The sequence below is a fragment of the Homo sapiens genome, chromosome 13 (genome assembly GCF_000001405.40).
Source record: "Homo sapiens chromosome 13, GRCh38.p14 Primary Assembly".
Lineage (NCBI taxonomy): Eukaryota > Metazoa > Chordata > Mammalia > Primates > Hominidae > Homo > Homo sapiens.
This window is the reverse complement of record NC_000013.11, coordinates 97689559-97711960: the sequence shown is the minus strand read 5'-3', so window position 1 is coordinate 97711960 and position 22402 is coordinate 97689559. Positions and strand designations below refer to the sequence as shown.

The following is a 22402-nucleotide window of genomic DNA, read 5'->3' as shown; positions in this document are numbered from 1 at the left end:
TTTCTATTTTATTAAGAATCTTGACTAAGAATATATATTGAATTTATTAAACACAATTTCAGTATCACTCATGGAAATTATATTATAATTATATGATTATATTAATTTTTATTCATAGAATATGATATGGTAAAGCATTAATAAATTAATTTTATTATTGATAATTCTTTTATTTCTAGGATAAAGTCCACTAAATCAGATGTGTTATCCTATTATAGCTGGATATTATTTGTTAATATTTTGTTAAAGATTTTTCTATTCATATTTATACAAAAGTTTGATCTATACTTTTCTGTTTAATCTTTGCTAAATTTTGGTGTCCATATTACTTCATTAAAAATATTCAGAAGTTTTTCTTCTTTTTTCATACTCTACAACAATTCAAATAATGTTGAAAATATGTATTCTTTTAAGATTTGCCAAATTTCCCTGTGAAACTATCTGAGCCCATTGCTTTTTTAAATGGGAAGTTGGTGAGAGAGAGCTTTTTTGCAGTTTCCCCTATTTTTTTCTGTAGATACTAGTTTGTTCAGATTTACTGTTTTGTCTGGAGCTGGTCTGGGCTAATTGCATTTTTCTAGGAAATTATATATGTTATCTGGCTTCTCAAATTTATTTGCACAGAGTTGAGCAGGGAAATCTATATGGTTATTGTAATTTTCTGTAGTTATAGTTATTTCCTTCTTTTAAAAAAGTTTTGCGTATTTGTGGTTTATTTCAGTTTTTCCCGTCATTTGTTGCTATATAACAAGCCACTCAAAATCTCAGTGGCTTAAAACATCAAACATTTATTTCTTGCTTGTGGATCTACAGGCTGGTGGCAACTCATCTAGGTTAGGCTGGGCTCTGGCTTCCAGGTTCCATGTTCCATGTTCCATGTGTTTCTCATTGTCTTCAGTTTAGTAGCTACCTGGAGTCCCATTGCACAAGATGAATGGCAGTAGCACAAGAGGACAAATGGACACGTGATACCTCTTGAGTCATCCATCCTGGTAGTTGCATGCTGTCATTTATGTCCACATTTCATTGGCCATGACAAGTTATATGGTTAAAACCAACATTAACAATGTGAGAAAATACAGTCTGCCCACTATAGTTGGTATAACTGTAAAGTCACATGGCAATGGGAGTGGCTATATAATTCTAATACTGAGTGGGCATAAAGAATGAAAGACAACAATTTATTCTGCCACAGTCCACTCTTTTATTTATTTATGTTCACATACCTCCTACATACAAAATACACTTAGTCTTATAAAAGTCATGCCAAAGTCTCATCCAATTATTATATCTGGGATTTCATTTATATTAATTTTGAATTTGGTTCACTTGACTGAAAGAACTATGAATTTAAAGAAATTACTTCCCCTTACTTATCCAACATGCAGTGATGGAGCAGGGATAGGCTAACCTCCACAAGTATACCCATTCAAAAGAGGATGCTGAGGAAGTATACGGTCATCACTGGTCTGTAGCAATCAATACTCAAATCCTATGGGCAAATATTGCCTGATTACCTTATCTTGGGAGCAGAGTATTTTTCCTTATTAGCTTACATTTTGTTCCCTGGGAGTATGTCCTCATTTCATTGTTCCCCATGGCTCTTGACTCTGCTGGCTGGGAAGTTCTTCCTTTATCCTCACATTCCTTAGCCACTTCTGAAGTAATCATTAAAGAATATGCTATTTTAGCTTACTTCCTACCAGTAGAAATCAGAGGAGGCCAAAAGTCTTTGACATCTTAAATAATTATAGTCTTAATCCTGACTGGCAGCACTTTTAATGATTTATTTCATAAGTTCTATAAGAAGAAATAGTACAAAACATCTACTTATCACAATGCAATAATTCTGGCATGTAATTAAAATAAAGGCTGAAAATAAAAAGCCTCCATCAATCAGAAAATTTAAATGATCTCTTAAAGAACTTTTGGCTGAAATCTTTGAAATCAAAACCAAAATTTTAGAATATCTAAACAAATGATAAAAATACTATACGTAAGAACGTACAAATTTCATCTAAAGGAGAGACAGCAGATCCTTTCATCTGCGTATAATGGCTCCTAAAAAGTCTATTGATATGATCTTCTGATTTTCTCATAGCACCTGTAATTAATTCTAGATAGGGAAGCATATTTCAAAGAGAAGTATGGGTATGTCTGTGAGCATAACAGGGATCAAATATTTAGAAAACCCATGAAACTTTTGAGAGACTAGGATATTGGTTTATACTTTATGAATATTTGTTCTATGAATAAATATATTTATAATATATATAATATATAAGCTCTATAAATTTTTTTGGTATGTAAATAATAAAAACTATTGTATCTTCTTTTCAGATTGCTGTCTTATTCTGTTAGGACTTTTGCCGCAAATTTAATCTTGCTTTCAGTCTTGTACAAAATTGAAAAATTGAAGTTGTCGTCTACTTTTGTATTTTCTTGGTTATTTGTTTATCCTTTAATTTTCAGAATCAGTTTCTTTAGGTGTGTTTGTATAGGACATAGAGTTGAGGTTTGCTATGGATTTCTTTTTCTTTTCTTTTTGTTTTGTTTTTTGTTTTTTGAGACAAGGCTTGCTCTGTTATCCAGGCTGGAGTACAGTGGCATGATCATAGCTTACTGCAGTCTCGACCTCCCGGGCACAAACAACCTTTTCACCTCAGCCTCCCAAGTAGCTGGGACCACAGATGCATGCCACCACATGCCTGGCTAATTTTTACATTTCTTGTAGCAAAAGGGTCTCACCATGTTGCTCAGGTTGGTCTGGAACTCTTAGGCTCAAGTGATCCTCCTGCCTTGGCCTTCCAAGGTACTGGGATTACATGTGTGAGCCACCAGGCCCGGACTTGAACAGCTTCTTTTAAAAGGTGAGTTTTTCCATTCATATTTACTAATATGGCAGATCTATTTAGTCTCAGTTCTTTTATTTTAGCTGCATCCCACAAACTTCGATAAGTTGTGCCTTCATTTTTGTCCAATTAAATGTACTTTCTCTCTTATAATTTCCTCTTTGACTCATGAGTTATTTACATGTATGTTGTTTAACTTCCAAATACTTGAGGATATTCTGGCTATTTCTTTGTTCTTACAAGCCCATCAAACGCAGTCTTTATATCTGTTATTCTTTTTTTGAATCTATGAACTTGCACTGCCTCTCACATTCTTTTTCTTTCCTCTTTCAATTTCTGTAAAATATATGTTTACATTGTCAGGGCTTATGGCATTTAGGTTTTGTTCTACCTCTGTTTTTTATTTTATTTTATTTTTTAGTTATAATTCTACCATTAGTTCTTACATCTTTGGCTGTTTAACCACTCATCTCATGATTAAAGCTTTTTTCTAAAATATACTCTCCAAGAAGGCTTATTATAAAAACAGTATTCCCCAAGTTCATTGCATATAATAGCTCTGTGACTGTTGCCTTTATGTTTGACAGCCTGTCTACAAAATTCATGGGTCACATTCTTTTTTTTTTTGAGGATTTTGAAGTTCTTCCAGTGTTTCCGAGAATTGAATATTGCTGTGAAGAAGTCCAAGGATAGTTGGAATATTTTTCTCATATAAATGATTTGATGACTTACTTTGTTTTCTAAAGTATTATTTCATTATTTTTTAAGTGCAGTAAGTTCAGAGTATATCTTGCCATTGAACACGCTGGGTCAGTTTCTGCTGGGATATGATGTCCATTTAATATGTAAATTTAACATATCTTTTATTTTTGGAAATAATTTGCTTTACTCCAATTTTTTCATTGCCTTCATTTGGATCTTTATTTATTTGTTTATTTATTTATTATTTATTTTTTATTTTTAGAGACGGAGTCTTGCTCTTTTGCCCAGGCTGGAGTGCAGTGGCGCAATCTCGGCTCACTGCAAGCTCCGCCTCCCGGGTTCACGCCATTCTCTTACCTCAGCCTCCCCAGCAACTGGGACTACAGGTGCCCGCCACCACGCCCGGCTAATTTTTTGTATTTTTAGTAGAGATGAGGTTTCACCATGTTAGCCAGGATGGTCTCGATCTCCTGACCTCGTGATCCGCCTGCCTCGGCCTCCCAAAGTGCTGGGATTACAGGCGTGAGCCACCGCTCCTGGCCCATCTTGATCTCTTTTAAACAAGATCAGGCACGTTCAGGGTGGCATGGCTGTAGACTTGATCTCCTTCAGGTACCCATAATTTTCTTCTTAATATTTTAAATATGTTTGGGCGTTAATTTCCATTTCTTGTTGTTTTCCCCAGTTTTATCTTCAATATCCTACGCAATATCTATCCTACTTTGTGCTTCTGTCATTTTAACTTTTATTTCTGTGATGATTTTTCTTTCAATTCTGTTCTGATATTTGCTAGTTCATGCTTTATTTTCTTCAGTCTTTTGACTAACTTTTCACTATGTTTTCACTGCAGTTGCTTCAGAAGGGCAATTGATTTAAGAATTTTAAATTGACTGTAGTGTTTGGTCACTCTTTTCATCTACTACTTGTCAGTGACTGTTCATCGTCTACCATTTATTTTCTTTTCCCTTTTCTCTCTCCCTACTCCCATCAGATCTATTTGGAATAGTTCTTGTGATGCCTCCTGTTGATTACTCAGTTGATTGAAGTGAATTTTTCTTGGACCAGCAATTTTCAGAAGTTTCATGTTGGGGAGGAACTAGGGCTATGTTCTGGGCTAGCTGGAATTTCCCTCATGACCCAGGATTCTTGTGTCAGGTTAATTAGCCTTTACTTCTTCCCAGCCCTTAGAGATAGCTCCCATAAACTTTTCACCGAGTTCTATCTCTGCTATTCTCTCATTGCTAAAGGGACAAGGTGCTTCTTTTAAATATGCTGTCTATGTGATTTCTCATGCAGTCCAACACTCTCTGCTTCCTAGTTCTGGGGAAGCTCTTGATGCTAGTTTGTGCACTCATCCTACTGCTGCAAATGAATGATTTTTATTTTGCCCTTGTCTCTCACTGCCAAGAAATATACTTTGCTGGCTCATGCATGATCCAGGGTCACAGTCTTTTTCCCCCCTTCACTTTCTGCCACGTATATCTCCACTTGATCTCTGCTTTTGGCGGCCTTTCCACTTATTTGATGGCGTGGGGGTTTTCTCTTGCCTAGTTTTAACATAGATAAGTTTGTATTTCTTATTTCTCATTATCTTTGTGGCTTTCAGAACACTCCCAAGAAAATAAGGAAGATATTCTGATTTAAACCACATCGTTAAACTAGAAGTTCAATTAATGAATTGTAAAGACAGGTGGGCTTTTATGACATTGTATTGCAATGTGTTGATGCTAGTTTTGATAACAAAGACATTTTTAAGAGCACCATAATGACCAGTATTTTGATTTTACTTAGAAAAAAGAGGGCATCAAAACAATTTTTTTGAATGAGTTTTCCAAAAAGCTTCAGATAATATCAAAGTTGTATATGGCATATCCCCAAAGAAGTTTTTCTGATGTCCTTAATCATGATTCAAATGCTCATTCATCTTGTGATTTTTAAAATGTATTATATAAAAGGAAGATAATATAAATAATATGTGGAAGAACTTCCATAATATTGAAGTAAATTGAAGCCAATTAATAAGCATGGGTCCTTGTTTGCCTTGTTTTATCAACCTATGTAGATTTCAAAAGTTTTGTCAATTGAAAAATCCCAAGTTCTATAAATTTGGAAAGGAGACTTTATTTATTATAAAAAGGGTTACAGCTTCTAGGGTGGCCATCATCCTGACAGATTTGGAAGTGTAGCCTCTGGCAGGGACTTGAAGGGGGCACTTTGAGGGAGGGGAGTGTGGGGCTGGGATTTATGCTAAACAGGTTGGCCCAGTACACATATTCAACAGGTTATAGGAGGAGCTACAGATATTCCTGAAGTGGGGCCTGATACATAAACAAACATGCATGTTTCATGCATCCCATGTTCACTTTGGTGTGGAGCCGTAATATTTAAACGCGTTACAGTTAGGCCTTATATGTCAAAAGGTGAAGCAGGGAGATGAAGACACTCAAGTGTGCAGTCTCTTTAAATGGGCTGGGACCAGTCCATGGTCTCTGGTCTTTTATCAGGAGAGTTACTGAAATCAGTCTTGTCCAATCAAAGTTATAGTTATGGCTTGTGGAACAGGGGACCAGTGAGTCAGCATCTGGTGGTAGAGGAGCTGCAATTATTTCAATATTGCTTCTCTTAAGGCCTTTGCTTATTTAGCTTCTGTAGAAGAAGAAAAACCTGTGGCAGTTAGAACACAGTTTATTCTTTAAGTGTAGGGGTATGTGGCTTAATCCTTGACTGGGTGGCCTTAGGTCCTGTTTGTAATTTGGTATCTTACTGCTACAGAGTCCATTTTATCAGTCTTATGAACTCTATTTTAACACTAATGCTGATCAGTTGTGTCTAAACCACACAAAGAGGAGATATACCAATGTGTGTCCAACCTCCTGTCCTGTCGTGGCCAGGAACTCCATTTTTAAGGTTTCTCTGGGTCCTCTTGGCCAAGAGGGGCGTCCATTCAGTTGGTTGGGGGCTTAGGATTTTATTTTTAGTTCTCAGTTTTGTACTGTGAATGCTAGTTGATTAAGTGAGAAGTTTGTGGCAATTTTTAAAGAAAGGATAGATATTAGATTGCATTAAATATTACCTCCTTGATTAAACTATTGTTATTAGGGAGAAAGTAAGATTGGGCCTGAGTAATTTTGAATGTAAGAATGTAACTCTGTATAAACATTAGCAGTTTCTCTAATTGATGCTGCTTTATTAAAATATCACTTTTTGTACTGGTGAAAGAGAAAAACATTAAAGGAATTTTTATCTTAAAATGTTCTCATTCTTATAATTTTGGGGTGCAGGTTTTTGGGAGTTTCTCTGTTTCTCACTCTTCAAAGGATAAAAGTCCTTTAGCTGAAAATAAAACATATTGCATTATATTTTATTAAAATAATTATTGTGGCGAAAATAAAGGGTATTACATAACACTTTATTAAAATAATTCTCTGCAATTGAGATTTATATTTTTTTCACTTCAGAATACTTCTGCTTACTGTAAGCATAAGTCCAAAACAAATACACAAAGAAAGCAGCAGCCACCATCTCCAAATCTTAATGTTGTGGTTTGAAAATATGTATATAAATTCTTTGATACACCTATTTTCAAAGGGTGGAGCCTAATGCCCTCCTCTTGATGGAGGCTAGACTTAGTGACTTACTTCTAACAGAATATGGTGAATGTGATAGTGTGTGGATTTTGAGAATACCTAAAAAAATCATTGTGTTTTTTCTCTTGATCCCTCTTTTGGATCACTCACTCTGAGGGGAGGCCAGCTGCCATGCTGTGAAAACACTCAAGCAGTCTCACAGAGTGTTCAAATGGCAAGGTACTGAGGTGCCCTGGCAACGGCAAGGAACTGAGGCCTTCATCCAAAGCCATTAAGTGAGCCATACTGGAAGCAGGTGCTCCGGTCCCTGGTGGTCTTGAGATGACAGCAGCTTCAGTGTCTTGACTGCAACCTCAAGAAAGACCTTGAGCCAAAGCCATCCAGGTAAGCCACAACTGAATTCCTGACCTACAGAAACTGTTAGCTAATTCAGTTGTTTTAAGTGAATATGGTTTTGGATAATTTGTTATATAGCAACATATAGCCAAAACATTTCATGTGGCCAATTTCACTCTCTCCGCAAGGACACACCAACCTGTAGTCCCTGGAGTACACAGCAACCCGCTTAATACCCAGCACTTGTCTGCTTACATTTTAGTTTCTTGGTTCTGTTTTCAAAGATCTTGCTATACCTACATCTCTTTAACAGTCGAATGAATAATAAAGAAAAATATGAAAGCTTCCAAATTTTTTTTTGGATTCAATTAAGTCAAAAAAGACTTAACATTTTTGCCAATTGAAGCAGACCTCTTGTTCAAATAAGCATATCAGATGCCTAAGTGGCTTTTGGCAAGAATTTCTAGAAAAGGAGTGATTGAAATTAAGACTTCTCTGAGCCTCACTTCCTAAAAATGCTGCTAGTAAATAGAAAACAACAACAATAACCAACCCTTTTATCTCCCCTACTATTCCATATAGGCCATAAAAGGAGAAGGACTTGAGGCTAATTATGAAATAATAGCCAAAACCTGATAAAGAAGACAAAGGGCAAGCTCAGAACTGGAGACAATGGCACAGGAAAATGAGAAATAAACAGCCATGTATAGGCAGCATTATCAGTGGTTGCCTTACAAAGTGACAGGGGCTAAGGCAGGTACTTATAACTGGTGCTTTGCTAGATTTATACACCAACTAAATTCTAAACCTATTTTCTGCCAGATGGAGTTAGGTTAGGGTGATGAGTGTTCAGTGATCAAACAATTCCTTCTACCTCATCTCCACTTAGAGACCAGTTGATTATTATTATTATTATTATTATTATTATTATTATTTTTGAGAGAGAGTTTCGCTCTTGTTGCCCAGGCTGGAGTGCAATGATATGATCTTGGCTCATTGCAGGCTCTGCCTCTTGGGTTCAAGTGATTCTTATGCCTCAGCCTCCCAAGTAGCTGGGATTACAGGTGCCTGCCACCATACCTGGCTAATTTTTTGTATTTTTAGTAGGGATGGGGTTTCACCATGCTGCCCAGTCTGGTCTCAAACTCTTGACCTCAGGTAATCCACCCACCTCAGCCTCCCAAAGTGTTGGGATTACAGGTGTGAGTCACCGCCCTCAACCTAACTGATTACTTTTGAATGCCTTGGTAGGAGCTAGAAAGGTTCTTCCCCCAAATATCTCCTCTACTTGAATTATACCATTTCGAATTTTATCTCAACAGTCACTAGAAGGCAGGTGTGTTCCAAAAAGATCTATTCAGATGATAGCAAGTGAAAATTGGTTTATTTTGATGAAAGATCAAAATGTATCATTTAAGAACAGTTTATTTCTTCAGAGAATTTATCTTAACACATCACCTCATAAAACTGTTATGAGTATAAATTAGTATATGTAGTTAGTTTATGAAACATGCTGTCTTTTGTGGGAGTAAATCATGAAGAAGCTTTATTTTCTCATACTACTACTGTCTTTCAACAGTGTCTTTAAAAGTGCTAGTTAAATCCCCCTCTTCTATCCTTTAGCTGCACTTCAGTTTCAACTAAAAATGAAACAATAGCAGATTAAATGCTTATTCATCATTCTTCCTGGACCCTACTTATCACTGATGATTTCCTTTGTTGTTGTTAATACTCATACTAGTGTGTTCCTGGTCACTTTCAGGTTTTATTTTCACATAGTAAAAATTTCAGTTTTATTTTAACTATTAAAATGTTGAGCCCAATCAGTAAATGTTGAAACTTGAAATGCTCATTCAATTTAAAGGTTCTTGCTTCCCCACCTCAGTCCGGTTTTGACACATGCCTGGAAACCTGTTACTGGGAAGATAAGGGCATGGTTGGTTCATTTGCTTCCTGCTATGGTCCAAATGTTTCTGTCCTCACCCCCAAATTCATATGTCAAGATCCTCACCCTCAAGGTGATGGTATTAGGAAGTGGGGCCTTTGAGGGGTGATTTGGTCATGAGGATGGAGCCCATGTAGATGGTTGTGAATGGGATTAGTGCATTTACAGAAGAGGCCTGAGATAAACCCTTGCCTCTTCCACCATATGAGGATGCAGTGAGATGGCAAGATGGGATTAGGTTGTGGACACTTACCTGACACTGAATCTGCAGATGTCTTGATCTTGGACTTACCAGCCTCCAGAACTGTGAGAGAGAGATTTCTGTTTTTTACAAGCCACCCAGTATATTCTGTGATAGCAGTTTGAACAGACTGAGACACTTCCTTGTTTTCTTTGTGCTTTCTCCCCACTTTCTAGTTGCCCTTTCTGGCCCCTCCAGGGTTAAGCCCAGTGGAGGGAGGATTGGCAGGAAAGGTCAGAGTCTTTCCTGATCAGAGCTCTGCTCCTGATGGCCGAGCAGGGAGAGAAGGCTACCATGGAGCAAGGCAGCACCCACCAATCGCAGGGAATGAGGGCTTCCTGGAGTGTTTTTCTAGAGTGTGCCCCATGGAAAATAGTTGAGTTTGAGTCATTTTAAGAGGACCCCACCTCTAGAGATCTGCCCAAGGGGGCTAAAGTAATCCTAATGGGGAAGAGTCCTGTGGGATATTTTGTTGAGGAGAGATTCCGTGGGGCTGCTAAGGGGAGGAGTGCTAGGTACTGGTCACTAGTGAGTCCCCAGTAAGGGACCCACCCAGGTGCTCTACAGAACAAGAGTCAGCCTTTGTGTATATGCCATCCCCAGACACCTCCTGGGTTCAAGCGATTCTCCTGCCTCAGCCTCCCGAGCAGCTGGGATTACAGGCGCCTGCCACCATGCCCGGCTAATCTTTTGCATTTTTAGTAGAGACGGGGTTTCACCATGTGACATGTGACAACAGCAGCTGACATCAGCACATGTTGGGTGAACTTTTATCTGCTCCCTCCCTGCCCTTTTCTCCAACCAGTTAGAAGCAGGTGGTAATGGAGAAGGAGACAAAGTTAAAAAAAAAAAAATTACAGAACTTCAACTATTGCCTGTCACAGGTTTCTTCAGATTGAGTAAGGGTTGGGATTCAGAAGGAGGGGAAGCTTCAAGTTGCTTGAGCGTTCTAAGCTGTACTGGACTTTTGAATACATCAAAGTGAGGGTGTTTGTTAATATCTCAAGGTGACTTGCAAAATATCATCTGCCTGACATATTGGCCAGGTGTGTGATGGGACTGTATAACTGAAATCATGGGCAGGAGAAAAATAAAATTGTTTTACCTGCTTGTACCTTCTGAGTCTGGACTATTTTTTATTAAAAAACCAACTGACCTGACCCAACAAAAAAAAATCCATAAAAATCAAATAAAACATCTAGTGCCTGGCACATAGCAAGTACTCAGTAAACATTATGTGTTATTATTGTCATCTTCAATATTATTACCACACCTAATTCTTTTATGCTCAGACTCTTTGGTGGAAAATGTCATGGAACAAGAAGGATGAGAGATTCATAGAGGCTATTTTGCATAGCTGTTAAGAGGTACTCTATTAGGGTACAGATAAGTACCTGCTAATTCCCATTTTCTGTTTAATAAAAGATACTCAATTAAGATTTGATGGTTTTAGTACTAATTTCCTCTTGGCTAAGCTGAAATAATGATGGAGAATGAGGTGGTTCAGGTGTACTAAATCAAACGCTGGAGGGATAGGGGAGACAGAGAGGAGAAACCGCCCATTGGAGAGGGTGCCCTACTTTCAAGCTTCATGAGATGATTGTAATGTAGAAATAGAGAAGGGAAGTGGTCAGAACGAATTATCTCACCCTCTGGGGATTCTAGAAAAGTGGTAGAATTCAGGCCAAGTAAGTTTATTGCTGCCTTTATGAGGCGACACTTGTTCTAACCTGGATGTGACTCTTATAAAAATTTTTTTCAACAAAAAATGAAACAATAGCAGATTAAATGCTTATTCATCATTCTTCCTGAACGTTACTTATCACTGATGTTTCTTTTGTTGTTGTTGCTAATACACTTTTTATTTTAGAATAGTTTTAGATTTACAGAATTATTGTGAAGATAGTATAGCTCCTATGTCCCTACATCCAGTTTCCCCTACTCCTAACATGTTAACATTAGCGTGGTATATTTGTTACAATTAATGAGCCAATATTGGTATGTTGTTATTAACTAAAGCCCATGCCTTCATTTATATTTCATGATTTTTGTCTCTGATGTCCATTTTCAGTTCTCAGATCACATCCAGTACATCGCAGTACATCTAGCAGTCCTGTCTCCTTTGGTTCCTATTGGTTGTGACAGTTTCTTAGACTTTCTTTGGTTTTGATGACCTTGATAGCTTTGAGGATTGAAATACTGGTCAGGTATTTTGTAGAATGTCCCTTCCTCTTATGTTTTTCTGATGATAGACAGGGGTTATGGGTTTTTTGGGGAAGACCACAGAAACAAAGTGACATTCTCATCACAGCATATCAAGGGTATATATTGTTAACATGACTCATTGCCATTGATGTTGACCTTGATCACCTGAGATTGTGTTTGTCAGGTTTCTCTACTGTCAAGTTATTCTTTTTTCTCCTCTTTCTATACTATTTTTTAATTTTCTTTTTCTTATTTTTTGAGATAGGGTCTCACTCTGTTGCCCAGGCTGGAGTGCAGTGGCATGATCACAGCTTACTGTAGCTGTGACCTCCCTGGGCTCAAGTGATCCTCCCACTTCATCCTCTCAAGTCACTGGGACTGCATGCATGAGCCACTATGCCCAGCTAAGTTTTTGTAGAGATAGGGTTTTGCTATGTTGCCCAGGCTTGTCTTGAACTCTTGGGCTCAAGTGATCTGCCTCAGCCTCCCAAAGTGCTGGAATTATAGGTGTGAGTCACTGGCCAAAGTTAATTTCTTTCTTTTCTTTTCTTTTTAAATTTATGTCCATGTACATTACTTTTTTTATACTGTGCTCTCCAGAAGGAAGTCCCTTTGTGCAGACCACACTTAATAAGCAGGAGTTATAATCCACTTTCTTGAGATCTGAGTATCTTTATAAATTTGTTCAAATTTTACTGCATGGGAGATTTGTCTCTTGTTCAACATTCATTTAATCACTTATATCAGTATGGACTTGATACTGATTTTATACATTGGGTCATAATCCAATACTATGTTATTTTGATGCTCAAATTGTCCCTCCTTCTAAGTATTGGGAGCTCTTTGATGTACCCCCATCATTGTGGTGTGGTTTTCTTTCTCTTTCTTTTTTCAGTTTTTATAATTTTTTTAATACTCTTTTACTCTATGGCATTAAAAGATACTCCAGGCTCATCTTGTATATGCCCCCCTTCTAGAATGAGCCATTTATCTGAGAAGCCCGGGTTCCTTTTATTGGAGGTCATATTAGAAACAAAGAACAGGGCAGTAGGTGTGCTTGTTGCTCCTGGTGTGTTTTTGCTTCTAGCTCCTCTCAGCTGACAGAGTGAGGATATTTGTGTATTCTAACCAGTGTTTACACACATCTATAAACATTTCTATATGTAACCATCTGTATCTGTATGGAGTTGAGCATGAGTTTATACTGCTGTCTCCAATTCTAATCCATTACCACAGGGATCATTCCAGGCTCCTCTTTTGCTTATTTGTAATCTCACACTTCAGTGAGAAACCTGGCTCCCACCATCCTCCATCCATTCACTCTATTGCTCAAGTCCCATGTACACGGAGAGCATTTTCAGAATTGTTATCCTCTGCTCTTACGGGAACCAACTTTAGCAACTAGACTGTGGCGCTCATGCATATTGCCTTTTACCTTTAGTCTTATAGACGCTACTTATTTCCAAAGTTATTTAAGTCAGTACCTTATTCCCCTATTCCCTTAAGTGAGATTGTTTCATAACGTTTGTAATATCATTGGATTCTTTTGTCACATTCTCCATTCCATCCTATCTTAGAGTAAGGGCACAATCAAAGGTAGCTATTGCTAATATATAATATATGTTTATATATATTTGAGACAGGGTCTGGCTCTGTTGCCCAGGCTGGAGTGGTGCTATCATGGCTCATTGTAGCCTTGACCTCCCCAGGTTCAAGTGATTGTCTTACCTCAGCCTCCCAAGTAGCTGACACTATAGGCATGCACCACCACATCAGTCTAATTTTTTGTGTTTTTTATAGAGACAGGGTTTTGCCATGTTGCCAAGGATGGTCTCAAACTTCTGAGCTCAGGTGATCCACGTGTGTCGGCCTCCCAAAGTGCTCAGGCTACAGGTGTGAGCAGACGTGCCTTGACCCACTAGCATATTTTTTATTTATTTATTTTTCTTTCTTCTATTACACCAGGAAATATTATTAGGCAACCTCTAGCATATTTTTTTAATGGTTGACTAATATTCATGGCTCAATGGCCCATAATTTACTTAGACAACTGCCTATTGACAAATGCTTAGCCAATTGTTCCTTATTGGACAATGGCCTATTATTGGACTGCTATAGATACCATGGTCAATAACATTCTTATATATTAATCTTTGTGCACGCTGATCATTTCATTATGGGACATTTCTATAGATAGTTAAATCTCTGAAGTAAAGAGTGCGAACTTTTTTAAGGCCCATACTATTTCAAGTTACCCTCTGAAAAATGTAAACTTCACCAGAACTAAATGAGAAGCCTCAAAAGACTGAAAATCATGATTTAAAATGTTTTTTCAATTTGACCGATCAAAAAAAAGGTCTGTTATGTGAGGTTGAGTTTTTTTTCACCATTTGTGTCTCTTCATTCTTTCATTATCTCATATCCCTTACTTTTTTTTTTTTTTTTTTTTGAGATGGAGTTTTGCTCTTGTTGCCCGGTCTGGAGTGCAATGGCATGATCAGGGCACACTGCAATCTCCGCCTCCCAGGTTCAAGTGATTCTCCTGCCTCAGCCTCCCGAGTAGCTAGGATTACAGGCATGCACCACCATGCCTGGCTAATTTTGTATTTTTTTTTTTTTTTTTTTTTTTTTTTTTTTAGTAGAGACGGGGTTTCTCCGTGTTGGTCAGGCTGATCTCAAACTCCTGACCTCAGGTGATCCACCCGCTTCAGCCTCCCAAAGTGCTGGGATTACAGGCGTGAGCTACGACACCTGGCCTATTTATTTATTTTATTTTATTTATCTTTTTTTTTTTTTTAGTGTAAGCTTTGTTTTCCATCTGTAACTGTTCAGCTGAACTGGAAATCCGATGCTTCATTTGTAGCAAGTCAATGACCTTCCCCTGTAATTAGGAATACTGAATATACTTGCTTTGTGGAACTTCCCGAGGGATCTTGCTTTCTGGATGGAAGGAGTGCAGAGGGATTTGCCTTTCCCCCTGACTAATCTCCAAGAATCCAGGCTGAGGCTCTTCTCTGCTCACAGATGCAGGATTTAGTTCCTCCATAACTATAATTACTAAGGAATTACAGCAGTTGTTTTTATATTTCTCTTCAAAGTGCTGTTGATATTTGAAGATTCTTCTGATGTGATCACTTTTCTAGATACAGTCTCAGGACTCTTCAGATGGAGTGAGGGTTTTATATGGGTTTTTAATTTGTTAACTGATGTATCTGTGTGCATTGGAGATGTTTCTTCTTTCAACCTATACAAAGAAATTTGCATCCTCAGAAAGATTGATTACCTCAAGTGATACTTCTAAATTCGATACTTGATGACAGATCTCTCAAAAATGTCTATCTTGGGCTGAGTCAAGGGCCTTCTTTTGCTCAGTTGAATCACATAGTCTCCAATTCTTAGAGTTCTCATGGTTTTTATCTTAGGGGCTTTGGCTTTTCAACCTGGAGCCTTGAACATTATACTAGTCCGTGTGAGAGAGTGGAGAGACCTTGGGGGTGCTGGCTGGCGGTACTAGTCCCCATGCCGCAATCCGGTGGTGCATTCTTGGACAAGTTTCTTGACATTTCTGAGCGCCAATAAAAATGGTTAGTGGAATGAATAAGAAAATTAGACACCGTGGTTCCTCAATCCCTGAGGACCCTTCTGGCTCCACATCTAATTTGAATTGGTCTTATGGTCACATATCATAGACTTGGAAGGTACCAGAAAAGCCCAACCTAAAGGCTGTAGCTATGTTGTTAAACTCCTTCAACCCCTAGGGAAGGTCATATTCCTGCTCCAAATTCCTCCCTTACCACGTATGGAGTCAGAGGCAAGGGGCCAGCCGCTATTCTCTTAGATGCAGTCGACTTTCCTCTTTACCTCCCCTCATTCTTTCTTGCCAATTTTAGCAACCCTTTCTTCTTTTCTGAAAAGGAGCTCTAAAAATCACTCTTATCCTCAAACTCAAATTGTGCTTTGAACCAGAAAGTGTTCAGAATTTGGAAATGCAATGTTTTTCAAGTATTTAAATGAGAAGCAGAGACACCCAAAGACTACTTCATCATATTTTAATTCTATTTCATTTAGCGCTAATTTAAAACAGAAACCTGTGGAGTAGAACCAAGGAGGCAGCCATAAAGTCAGGAGGTAAAAGCCTGGGAAAGCAGATAACGTCCTTCTCCTCCTCCCTCTGACGACTGACTCATCCCCGCTCTTCACTGTCTTCCTCCTGCCCAGTGCTCAAAGTTATTACGTTCGAGTTAATAATTGCAAGAGATTCACTGGTCTAACTTCATTGTCTCTTCTCAAGTAACATGCCACCTGTCATGATGATTTTACTAGCTCCTTTGCAATGGAGCCAGTGCAGTCTGCTCTGCAAATCCAATCAAATCCACCAGCAAGATGCAGAGGCTGTTGGAATAGATGAGGTTGACAGCTGGGGGTCCCAGAGAGAGATTTATCAGCATCTTCAACTGCACACTCTTCACTTGGCTCATTGACTACCAGTGTTTTTTATTTTCTGTTTGCTCCTTGTTCTTCAGAAACTCCAAGAACACCGGAACTTCCTGGGAATTTCAGGCATCACTGAGAACTTCGTAGCACAAATAGGAGGACTTCCTAGCACAAATAGTGAGACACAGGCTTGGTTGTGTGTGCCTTAAAAGGCTCCTTGTGGCGGGGCTTGGTGGCTCATGCCTGTAATCCTAGCACTTGGGAGGTAGATGTGGGAGGATTGCTAGAGCCCTGGAGTTCGAGACCAGCCTGAACAACATAGTGAGACCCCGTCTCTACAAAATGTAGAAAAATTAGCTGGGTGTGGGGGCACATGCCTGTAGTTCCAGGTACTCGGGAGGCTGAGGTGGGAGGATCATCTGAGCCTGGGGAGGTTGAGGCTGCAGTGAGCAGAGATCGCGCCAAAGTACTCCAGGTTGGGTGACAGTGTGACATCCTGCCTAAAAAAGAAATAAAGGCACCTTGCTGCACTCCAAAAGCCGATACTGAAAGACTTGATGCAAATAAATGCTTTCTCTCAAGAATCCAGGATGGAGGGGATTATAGCAGGCAGAACTCACAGTCCAACTACCCAGCAGGATTCCCAGGGGCCCTTGCGGACAGTTTTACCAAGTACCAAGTGAAGCCTGAAGCTGGTGATGCCTTTACTTTAGTTTCCTACAGTACTTTCAAAATGGGGACACAACAGGCAAGAGGCGACCAAGCCTCCCTAGCCTGAGGTAAGTGAGAAGACACCACCAGCTCTACACAAGCGGAATCATTGGTGCCCTTGCTTCTCCAGTGCTCTCCTTACTCAGAGTGGTGTAATTTGCTGGGAAGGAGATCTTGGGCTCTTGAGCTCTGTGTAATATTCAAATTCTCATTATATAGACGTGGTTGAAGATGTCAGGGGAATAAAAACTAGAATTTCAAGAAGCCCCCGATATGGTTTGTCTGTGTCCCCACCCAAATCTGATCTTGACTTGTAGCTCCCATAATCCCCACATGTTGTGGGACAGACCTGGTGGGAGGTAATTAAATCACAGGGGCAGGTCTTTCCCGTGCTGGTCTCATGAGATCTGATGGTTTTATAAAGGGGAGTTCCTCTGCACATGCTCTCTTTGCCTGCTGCCATGTAAGATATGCCTTTGTTCCTTCTTCACCTTCTGCCATGATTGTGAGGCCTCTGGAGCCTTGAGTCAATTAAACCTCTTTCCTTTATAAATTACCCAGTCTCGGGTATGCCTTTAGTAGGAGCATGAGAAGGGACTAATACACTCCCCTTTCTCCCCTCAGGGTCACCTGCAATCCTTGGTGGGTGTGGGTGAGGGCAAGTAAACTTGCACCCCACCAGCCTTTTAAGAGATGGAGTCCTTAAGAACTTGGGTCCACCAGACACTGGGGATAATGAGTTAGGACTAAATAAGTGTGACAGGGACTCAGGAGAGCTAGAATTTCACCAACCTCTGTCAAAAGCAAGCCACGCCCCCTCTCTGGACTTCTGACTCTTCAACTGTAAATGTAAACTCTGAAATTCTGATTTTGAGGGGGATTATTTCAGGAGATAGAGTAAGATTACCCTAAACCTGTTTGAGAAGGCACAGGAAGATGAAGAGAGAAACACAAACTGGGTTTGTCCTCAGTTTGCACACAATTATGAGAAGCACATTTCATATTTGACTTTGAACCACAGCCTTTACCTGTAGATAAATAGAAACACTGCAACTTGGAAACCACGAATCTGTCTTCCAGGGTGAAGTGGAGATAGAACCCTCAAGGAGCTATGCTTGGGATGAACAGTGTCTGCTGTCACTGTAGTGAAGGGAGCACTTCAGGGCCCCCGTGAACTGTCCAGCACTGTCCAGTGCAGGGGGTCTATGCAGGCCCCACTCTGTGAATCCAGACTGAGTCAGCTTGGCCCCAAGGATTTCCAGGTTGGCCCCAAGTGAATGCCACCTGGCTGTAAGCATGGTCACACTCTGCCACAGAGCAGAATATTGCAGGATTTTGATAAACCTCAGGGTAAGTCATGTTCTGTAGACTTAAGCACATAGTAAAAGCCTGTGACAACAGGGGAACTCATACAAAGAAAGATAGTCCCGTTTCCTATGTGAATGTTATAAATAGGCTTAACCACATAATCAGTGCTTACTGCAGGCATTGTGTGCCATACACTCTGCTGGGCACAAAGGAAAACACCAGGAGAAGTAACAACAGAATAATTTACCATTTACCCACTGTATGATCTTCCTTGGGCAAGTTACTCAACCTCTCTGTCTCTCAGATTTCCCAGTTCAAAATGAAAAGGATAATGACACTATTGACCTTATAGGGTTGTTAAAATAAGGCATTTAGCAGACTAGCTGGCACCATACCAAAAATGTTAATTATTATTGTTTTTATTATATATAAAAAGTGGTGGTAAGCTTCTTGGGATTTTATGAAATTTTATGAAAACGCTTTACTTTTATCATGTCATTGGATTCCTATAACAACCTGGCAAAGAAGGCATTCTCATTTCCATTTTACAGATAGGAATGGAAGCCTACCTAGGATTACACACCTAAAAAGGGGAGAGAGGACAAATTTGGATCAATTCATTGCCATTTTCGCTTCATTAAACTGCCTCCCATAAAGACTAGGAAAACAGAGCTCATGTACTCAAGAGCCCTGTTATTTGTGAGGGTAGCCAAAAACTCAACAAATGAAAATGACATGGGATAGATAAGTGTCTGATACAATAGTGCTAGCAATGCTTAGATATTTGCAACTAATTCTAGGCAGAACTGTGACTCAGCAATTGCTGTGGAAGTGCTGCAGTAGAGGGGTGTTGGGGGAGAGGTTGGCTGCTACCTAGTGATCACCCACTGGGCTGCTGTGGGCTGCTGTGGGTACTGGTCCATTACTAGTCTGCACATGGGACATATCTAGCCGTTGAATGGAATTATGGCTCTTTTTTTTCTTCAACTTTTATTTTGAGTTCTGGAATAAATGTGGAGGATGTGCAGGTTTGTTACATAACATGTAACACGTGCCACAGTGTTAGGACTAAATAAGTGCGACAGGGACTCAGGAGAGCTAGAATTTCACCAACCTCTGTCAAAAGCAAGCCATGCCCCCTCTCTGGACTTCTGACTCTTCAACTGTAAATGTAAACTCTGAAATTCTGATTTTGGGGGGATTATTTCAGGAGATACAGTAAGATTGCCCTAAACCTGTTTGAGAAGGCACAGGACCTGCTGTACAGATCAACCCATCACCTAGGTATTAAGCCCAGCATTCTCCCTCCCTTGGCCCCCACCTCCACTGACAGATCCCAGTATGTGTTGTTCCCTACCATGTGTCCACGTGTTCTCATTGTTCAGCTTCCATTTATAAGTGAGAACATGTAGTGTTTGGTTTTCTGTTCCTGTGTTAGTTTGCTGAGGATAACGGCTTCCAGCTCCATCCATGTCCCTGCAAAGGACATGATCTCAATCCTTTTTATGGCTGCATAGTATTCCGTGGTGTAGATGTACCACATTTTCTTTATCCAGTCTATCATTGATGGGCATTTAGGTTGAATCCATGTCTTTGTTATTGTGAATAGTGCTGCAATAAATAATCTTTATAATGGAATGCTTTATATTCCTTTTGGTATATAGCCAGTAATGGGATTGCTGGGTCAAATGGTATTTCTGTCTCTAGGTTTTTGAGAATTTGCCACACTGTCTTCCACAATGGTTGAACTAAAACATTCTCACCAACAGTGTAAAAATGTTCCTTTTTCTCCACAACCTCACCAGCAACTGCTGTTTCTTGACTTTCTAATAATCACCATTCTGACTGGTGTGAGATGGTATCTCATTGTGATTTTGATTTGGATTTCTCTAATGATCAGTGATATTGAGCTTTTTTTCATATGTTTGTTGGCTGCATGAATGTCTTCTTTTGAGAAGTATCTGTTCATGTCCTTTGCCCACTTTTTAATGGGGTTGTTAGGTTTTGTTTTTCTTGTAAATTTGTTTAAATTCCCTGCAGACTCTGGATATTAGATCTTTGTTAGATGGACAGATTGCAAAAATTTTCTCCCATTCTGTAGGTTGTCTGTTCACCCTGATGATAGTTTCTTTTGCTGTGAAGAAGCTCTTTATTTTAATTAGATGTCATTAGTCAAATTTTGCTTTTGTTGCTATTGCTTTTGGCATTTTTGTCATGAAATCTTTGCCTGTGTCTATGTCCTGAATAGTATTGCTTGGCTCTCTTTAGTTCTGCACTCCTGTCTGTTGGCTCTCCCCTCTGTCTATCTATCTCCAGTATCCTAGTGTCCTTTGGATCTCTCAACCCAGACATCTGCTCTTCAGAATTTCATCACAGCAAAGATCAGATAAATTCTTACAGATGAAGGTGAAAATGACTGGGTTTTATATGGACCTCCTTCCCTAAAGTGTGTTCCCTACCCTAATCTAGGCAAAAAGCCAGAAGACAAAGAGGTGGTGGATGTTTAGGCATGAATAATTTAGGGTAGTGAGAAATTTTGAGGAAAGAGGGGATCTATGGGAGCCATTTAAAGATGCTATACAATTTGCCCATCTTACTTGTTTTTAAAATTGTAGTAAATCTGAAATCAATAGGATCTTAAGTAAACAAACTCCAAAAGGTCAGAGATTACATCTTTCTTATTTACTGTTATATCTACAGTACTGGCACAATCCCTAGTACATAACAGGTACTCAATAAATATTGGCCAAGTGAATGAATTATTTGATGAATTACTCAATGAAGACTTACATTGTAGATTTACATTAAATTCATCCAACCTAGATGAGTATTTTGATTGGTTGGCCATTAAGGAATCTTAAAATTTTGACTGGTTATAGCCTCAAGATTGAAAAATACTTTTATTCTCATTTTTACAAAAAGAATCTCTTGAACAAGGATGAGGATGATAAATTGAATGAAACATATTGCTCATCTGCTATACAAAAAATGTACTATTCAACAGTTATTACTATCATATCATGGCACCTGTAGTATGTATGTTTCCTTTTTCTAACACATTGGAATGGTCAGGAATTGACTTGACATTGAATGATACTGACACGTGTGTTTCTCCAGCATCTCTGGCAAATGGTCATAACACAGACTTTGCAGTTCATGGAGAACTGGAAGGCTGGCATCTTTAGACATTGGAGATGAGTTATAGAACACTATGCAGTTACCAGTTTCAGTGCTGTTTATTCCTTTGTATAAATCCACATTTCTATCTGGTATCATTTCTTCTGCCTGAGGGACTTCATTTGACATTTGTTGTTGTGTAAGTCTGCTGGTGATAAATTCATCAGCCCTTATATGTTTTAAAGAGTCTATGTTTAATGTTCATGTTTGAAAGATACTTTCACTGGTTATAGAATTTTAGGTTGACAAGTTTTGGGGGGTGAAGGTTGGAGTGGGGGTACATTAGCGATGTTACTCCATACTCTTCTTGCATGCATTTTTCCTGATGAGAAATCTGTCCTTAGCATCTTTGTTTCTCTGTATTTTACCTGCCTTTTTCCCCTAAAGGCTGCTTTTATAATTTTATTTATTACTTTTTTAAAGCAAGTTGATTTTGATTTGCTATGGTGTAGTTTTCTTCATGTTTATTTTGCCTGGGACTCATTAAACTTTTTAAATCTGTGGATTTATAGCTTTTATCAAATTTGGAAAATTCTTAGCCTGTTTCTTCTAGTTTTTTTTTTTTTTTCCCTGTTCTTGCCCCCTTTGGAGACACCAATTAAAGACATATTAGGCCACTTGAAATTGTATTACAGCTCACTAATACTAAGGGTATTTTTTAAGGGTTGGCTTTTTCTTTACGTTTTGTTTTGGCTAGCGTACATGGCTACTTGCTTCAACTTCATTAATCTTTTTTCAGCAAAGTCACTTTGCTTTTAATCCCATCCAGTATAGTTTTCATCTAAGACACCACATTTTTCACTTGTAGAAGTTCAATTTGAGTTTCTTTTTAATTTAATTTTTTTTTTTTTTTTTTTACAGAGTCCTTCTCTGTCACCCAGGCTGGAGTGTAGCCACATGATTT

General features: G+C 38.9%; 1 long non-coding RNA gene across 2 annotated transcripts in view; it reads left to right on the top strand.

Moving 5' to 3' along the window:
• The first annotated feature begins 916 nt into the window (after positions 1 to 916).
• Positions 917 to 22402, top strand: part of LOC105370324 (uncharacterized) — a 179291-nt gene continuing 157805 nt past the window's right edge. Inside the window, exons 1-2 of one of the 2 annotated variants that reach the window (XR_007063845.1) lie at positions 917 to 992; positions 5161 to 7525. This is a non-coding gene — a long non-coding RNA (uncharacterized LOC105370324). Of the gene's footprint in view, positions 993 to 4034; positions 4167 to 5160; positions 7526 to 22402 lie in introns of those variants that run through there. The other variant, XR_931663.3, reaches the window with a different exon arrangement.